The 7,347-nt window shown below is 37.1% G+C and overlaps 1 annotated feature.

Annotated features, from left to right (window-relative positions):
• Window positions 3,720–3,889: an enhancer, noted in NCBI's record as "active region_29703". NCBI's record gives its function as "activates an Ori minimal core promoter by ATAC-STARR-seq in GM12878 lymphoblastoid cells {active_cell/tissue: GM12878}" and the evidence as "EXISTENCE:reporter gene assay evidence [ECO:0000049][PMID:35858748]".

Below are 7,347 nucleotides of genomic sequence, written 5' to 3' on the forward strand. Positions count from 1 at the left end.
ATGTAATGTTATATTGTTAATTTGTGGTCTTTCTATGTTTCAGATGTAGGCATTTAACACTATGAAATTTCCTCTTAGTGCTTATTTTGCTGCATCCCTGAGGTTTTGTTATGTTGTTTCAGTTTCATTTCTTTAAAAAAAAATTAAACGTATATCTTTATTTTATTATTAAACCAAAGATTATTTAGAAGCAGATTGTTTAATTTCCACATATTTGTATCTTTTGGGAGCTCCTCTTAGTATATATTTGTAACTTTATTCCACTATGGTCCAACAAGATACTTGATATAATTTCAATTTTTTTTTTAATTTATTGAATCTTGCTTTGTCACCTATTATGTGGTTTATTTGGAGGAAAGTTCCAAGAGCAATGAGAAGAATGTGTATTCTTCAGTTTTTGAGTAGAATGTTCTGTAATTGTCTGTTATGTACATTTGTTGTAGACTCCAATGTAAGTCCTGAGTTTCCTCGTTTTTTTTTTTTTTGTTTTTGTTTTTTTTTTTTGGTGTGATCTTTCAAGGGCTCTGAGTTGAGTGTTGAAGTTCCACACTATTATGACATTGCTGTCTACTTTTTTCTTAGGTCTAGTAGTATTTCTTCTATGAATCTGTGTGTTCTGGTGTTGGGTGCACATATATTTAGGTTTGTTATATTTTTGTGGTAAAGTGAACCTTTATCATTATATAATTACCTTCTTTGTCTTTTTAAACTGCTTTTGAATTATAGTTTGTTTTATCTAATGTAAGTATAGCTACTCATGCTTGTTTTTGTTCTGTTTGCATGGAATATCTTTTTCTACCCTTTGTAAATGTCTTTAACAGTGCAATTTGACTTTTGTAAGCAGCATGTGGTTGAATCTTGTTATTCATTTATCCATTCCAACCACCTATATCTTTTAAGTGGAGTATTTTGTCAATTTATTTTAATGGCTAACAATAATATGTGAGGTTTAATTCCTGTTATGATGTTGTTAGTTGCTTTGTAGTGTCACTTGTGTAATTGCTTTATAGAACCTGTGAATTTTTTTACTTTTGAGTGTTTTATGGTACCTTGTATCACTATTTTATTTTCATGTTTAGATCCTTTGACAATTTTTGTAGCTCTGGTTCAGTGGTGACTAATTTCCTTAGTGTTTGCCTTGGAAATAATTTATTTACTTTTTTTGTTTATGAAGCTTAGTTTTGCAGAATAGAATATTTTTGGCTGACAGTTTCTTTCTTTAAGAAGACTAAAAATAGGATCCCAATCTTTTCTGGCTTGTAAGATTTCTACCAAGAAATCCACTGTCAGCTTGATGGGATTTCCTTTATAGATAACTAGGTCTTGTTCTCTTACTTTTTACCTTTACGTTGACTTTGAATAGTCTAATGAGTTGGTGTCGTCTTGGTAAAGTTTATCTTGCAACAAATGTTCGGGGATTCCTGAGCTTCTTATATCTGGCTGTCTAAACCTCTAGGAAGACCAAAGAAATTATTCTAAAATATTCCCTCAGGTAGATTTTTCAAGACTATTTTAAATCTTTTTACTCTTCTCCCTCAGGAATACCTATTACTCATAGGTTTGGATAATTTGCATAATCCTACATTTCTCAAAGGTGGTTCACTTTTTTATTCTATTTTCTTTATTTTTGTCTGACTGTATTAATTCTAAAAACCTATCATCATGATCTGAAATGACTTTTTTCTGTTTTATCTAATTTATTGTTAAAGCTCCCAGCTGTGTTTTATAATGTCTTTAATAAAATTTTCATTTCCAGAAGTTCTGTATGTTTTTTCTTAAATGCCTATCTCGTTCATAATTTTTATTTATATTCTGATTTGTTTTTCTGATTCAACTTTCTTTTGAATCTCATTGAGCTTTCTTTAAATCCCTATTTTGAATTCTTTGTCTTTCATTTCATAATTATCATTTTGGTTAAAATATCCATTGCAAGAAAGCCAGTGTGATCCTTTTGGTGTTTCATAAAACAATGTTTTTTTTTTTAATACTGTCATAGTTCTTATGCTTTTTCTTTCTCTTCTGGAGAAGCTGTCACTTCTTATTTTTTAATTTTCTTTCATTTTAATAGGGCATTTGTTTTCTCTTTTTGAGAGTGTTACTGCTGTGTATGTTTGGTAGGGTTCTTTGCCTTTGATGCTTTTAGGGAGCCAAAGCTCTGTATAAATTCATTGCTTATAGATAGCCTTGGTGTGGTAGTTTTCTCAAATTCTAGTTGTTTTTGTCCATGGTGAAGGCTGTGCACTGAGGGTGTCAGCAGGCTCACTGCAGCTTGCTGAGATGGGGTGGTGGAGGTTTGAAGCTTGTTTTCTAGTGCTGTGCCTTTCTGTCAGCATGAATTGTATTTGGTTGTACAGTTCAACCTTTGGGCCAGTAAGTGACACTGGCGGGTAAGGTCCAGGCAAGCACTGTGCAATTTATCAGCAAATGTTTTAAAGGAATGTGGAGGTTGACCTCCCAAAAAGTAGATTGTGTTTGCAAGAGACAGACAACTGTGGTGTTGGCAGCAGGATTTATGTGTGTCCTTTGTTAATCAGGAGAAGTACTTAGAAGTCCTACATAATGGGCAGAGACATGGAACTCTCAGGAGACCCTGTCCTGTGTTCTACCACTTTGGCAGGTGGGTAGTACAAAGTTGAGGTGAGCTGGGTTCATGACCATGTTCCTCAATCATGGTCACGGATGCTGACCCCAGTGGAGGAAGGGGGATGTTTACAGACTACAGGGACAACTTTTTGGGAAGGGTAGAGGCACTTCTACTGCACCAAAGAGCCCACATTGGGGGAAAAGGGAAGACTGAAATTAATAGCCCAGGAGATGGTAGTGGGATCCACCTAGCTCACATGACCCTGAGTTAGCAGGTCTCCCTTTGGCATCTGGCCACTGTAGGCAGGCAAAAATGGCTAGCCTTGTCCCAGAAAGTCTATGTTCAGATTGGAAAGACACACCAGGGTGTGAGACTCCTGGCTTGGAACAGAAACCATGACTCCTTTGCCATACCCTTCTTGGTCCAGTCCCATAGAGCAAAGTGTGACTAGCTTTCATGATGTGGCATAAACCTACATCACATTCCTCTCAGTTATGACTGTGAGTGCTCTTCCCCTACTCAAGAGCAGACAGAAAACCTCATCCCCATACCCCTGCATAGCATGCTTGAGTCCTGGGGGAATGGGACTATGTCAGCAGACTTGTCCTCAGTTCCCCTGGATTCAAGCATTGATGTAATAGTTAGGGGTCAGAAAGTCCCAAGCCACTGGTTGTAATAATCATGCAGGGCAATGATGGTTACACTGTGGGCCTGCCACCAGGAAGGGCTGGTCTCTCTCAGCAGGAACACCCAGGCGGGCAGCTTCGAGGGAAGTCAACAGGCATGGTGTGCATGGTCCAAACTCATCTCTTTCCCACAGCAGCCTCCAGCAGTGGTGGTAAAACCTGCTTTTGAAGTGTGTGAGAGCACAAAGCCTCCCTTCTCCCTCTGCAGTCTGGCAGCTATCAGTGTCAGCAGCAGCCTCAGAAGAGGACACAGAGACTTGGGGAATGGGCTCCAATGGTGAGATTATTCTGCACTTGCCTAGTCTTGAAGGCCTGTAAAACTTCACGTGACTTCAAGCAATGCCTCTCTATGATCTACAGGCAGCTTCCTATGGTGATATGGAGGCTTGTGGTGGACAAGGAGCTCCTGTATAGCTATGATTATAGAGATCCATCATAAGAATATGGAACTCGAGGGGTCTCTCACTTATTCCTTGCTTGGGTTCAGGGTCTGGGGGACTTCTGTGACCCTGGCCAAGCAGGCAGTCTCACTTCCTCTTCCTTCATCTTCAGCATCTGCCATTGCCTCTCTGTTGAATTGTGGTATTATATTCTCAGATGATCTATTCAGAGTATGAATATTTACTTAATTTTTCGGTTCCCTTCCATGAAAGAGGTGAAATGCAGCTGCATTTAGTCAGCCATCTTAAGGCTTGCCCATTCAATTATTTAAAAATATTGACAATGAGTTAGTATTAGACATCTGTGACATATGTATTTAATTGCATTTAGATTGCAATTCTATATGACATTATTCTATCAGAAGCATTATTCTATCACAAGCAAAGGATCATGATGGATCCTTGTGATATTTATTGAAGTATCACTAGAAAAACTTTCACTTTTGGAATTTCAGTCAAAATGTCAAACTGGTTTACTTTCAGTTACCATGTTGTTACTATGGTTCTTCAGTTGTAGTTGTAACAAATTATGTTCTTGTTATTTAGAAGAATAAAAAACTTGATGTTTTAGAACACAAAAGATAATGTACAGATTTAAGGTTGATGGTGTGCAATAAAACCCATGTGGTGCTGAATTTTCATTGAAAGTATTATAAGGAACAAGAAATAGCTTCTCCTTTGCCTTCTGAAGTTTCCCGAAAAAATGAAATGACAAAAGGCAGATTGATAGGAAAAATGGCATCGAAATTTATTAGTGTGCATGAGAGAGAATAAGAGTGATTACCCAAAGTTTCAATGAAAATCCAGTACTACATGGCCTTATTTAAAGAAGGGAGGGTGATATAGGGAATATAGGTGATTCTGTTTGGGGGACTACATGATTACTAAGAAGAATGAATGGTTTGAGACACAGAGATTGACTTGTTAATGGTTCTTTTTGGAAATTGAATGACCCTCAGAGACAAACATTGTTTTGTCAGGGTCTGTTCAGGTGTTGTTACATTCTTGTTCTTCCTGTCTGTGATACATAATGTGAAGACAATGAGGGGAAGAAGAAAATTGTTCTATTTTGTGAGTCCATACAGTGTTGGTGTAGATGAAGGAAAAGTCTCTTGCAGCATATGTTGATTTCTAGGGAGCTTTAATTCAAAATACTCACTATACCAGGTAACCATATTTTGGGATGAGGATTTCTGCATTCTTTTATTTCCTGTGTCTATAACTTTCATAAAAATTTTATACATTAAAAGCTAAGGCCAAGCGTGGTGGCTCACGCCTGTAATCCCAGCATTTTGGGAGGCTGAGGTGGGTGGATCAGAAGATGTCAGGTGTTCCAGACCAGCCTGGCTAAAGTGGCGAAACCCCGTCTCTACTAAAAATATAAAAATTAGCCAGGAGTGGCTGCACACACCTGTAATCCCAGCTACTCAGGAGGCTGAGGCAGGAGAATCGCTTGAACCCAGGAGGCAGAGGTTGCAATGAGCCGAGATCGTACCACTGCATTCCAGCCTGGGTGACAGAGCGAGACTCCATCTCAAAAAAATTAAAAAATAAAAATCAAAAAATAAAAGCTAAGTCAGTGACTGTGGATGGATTTTAGTTATAGATTGATAAGAGATAGGCAAAGGAAAGAAAAAACAAATTTTGTTAATCAGAAACACGTTGAAATGTAACATTTCATGTTTTCTTGAATCAATCTTTTAGTCCTGAGAACAGATTAGTTCAGTTAAATTGGTATGTCCCATAATAACAGGTGACAGTGCAGATGTGCTAAACCTCTACATATATTGCAGGCAAATAGATATTTAATAAGAGGCATTTCAATGGAAACAGAAGGTAAACTAAGATTAGTGTCTGGAGTATTGTGTACTAGTCTTCCTAGAGTTTCCAGAGCATCTTCATATTGCAGTGACAGTCTGACAGCTTTTCCTGGATTATGGTTCAAATCATATGCTCAGTGAATTTTATGAATAGTCCATACACCAACAGACATGAAGGCTGTTTATACATAAATTAGTGTGGTGATTTCTCCTGAAGTTTACATCAAGTAGTCTAACTTATAAGTGCAGTACTTGAAGAAAGGCAGTTTTAATTACTAGTAATTCCTAGTGAGAAAAATGAAAGAAAAATTCAAAATTTTTAGTTTGCAGGTTGTAGCTAGGAAAAAATTCAAAATCCATTCAAAACTATAGACAAATCAAAAAAACTCAAAAACAATGGTCAGGGCTAGCATTTAACAACAACTATACTATAATTTTTTTCTGAAACATAATTTTTCTTTCTCAGTTCTCTGTTCTACCAAAGAAAAATTACATTCAAACCAATTTATTTGCAAAATATGGTTTAATATTATTGTAGGGTTCCTTATTATTTTTACAAAGTTCAGCAACAATAGTGGTTAGGGGGTTAGCTACATAGACCTATAGACTCTTTCAAAGTTGGCTTTGCTGAAGCTTTTTAATAAAGAATCTCAGATTAGAATTTTAAAAAAACAGAAAAAGAGTGAATCCTCCCTAACTCATTTTATGAGGCCAGCATCATGCTGATACCAAAGCCTGGCAGAGACACAACAAAAAACGATAATTTTAGACCAATATCCTTGATGAAGATGGATGCAAAAATCCTCAATTAAATACTGGCAAACGAAATCCAGCAGCACATCGAAAAGCTTATCCACCATGATCAAGTGGGCTTCATACTGGGGATGCAAGGCTGGTTCAACATACACAAATCAATAAACGTAATCCAGCATATAAACACAACCAACGACAAAAACCACATAATTTTCTCAATAGATGAAGAAAAGGCCTTTGACAAAATTCAACAGCCATTCATGCTAAAAACTGTCAATAAATTAGGTATTGATGGGACGTATCTCAAAATAATAAGAGCTATTTATGACAAACCCACAGCCAATATCATACTGAATGGGCAAAAACTGGAAGCATTCCCTTTGAAAACTGGCACAAGACAGGGATGACCTCTCTCACCACTCCTATTGAACATAGTGTTGGAAGTTCTGGCCAGGGCAATCAGGCAGGAGGAGGAAATAAAGGGTATTCAGTTAGGAAAAGAGGAAGTCAAATTGTCCCTGTTTCCAGATGACATGATCGTATATCTAAAAAACCCCATCTTCTCAGCCCAAAATCTCCTTAAGCTGATAAGCAACTTCAGCAAAATCTCAGGACACAAAATCAATGTGCAAAAATCACAAGCATTCTTATACACCAATAACAGACAAACAGAGAGCCAAATCATGAGTGAACTCCCATTCACATTTGTTTCAAAGAGAATAAAATACCTAGGAATCCAACTTACAAGGGAGGTGAAGGACCTCTTCAAGGAGAACTACAAATTAATGCTCAACGAAATAAAAGAGGATACAAACAAATGGAAGAACATTCCATGTTCATGGGTAGGAAGAATCCATATCATGAAAATGGCCATACTGCCCAAGGTAATTTATAGATTCAATGCCATCCCCATCAAGCTACCAATAACTTTCTTCACAGAACTGGATAAAACTACTTTAAAGTTCATATGGAACCAAAAAAGAGCCTGCATCGCCAAGTCAATCCTAAGCCAAAAGAACAAAGCTGGAGGCATCACTCTACCTGACTTCAAACTATACTACAAG

Source organism: Homo sapiens, chromosome X, assembly GCF_000001405.40.
Source record: "Homo sapiens chromosome X, GRCh38.p14 Primary Assembly".
Classification (NCBI taxonomy): Eukaryota; Metazoa; Chordata; class Mammalia; order Primates; family Hominidae; genus Homo; species Homo sapiens.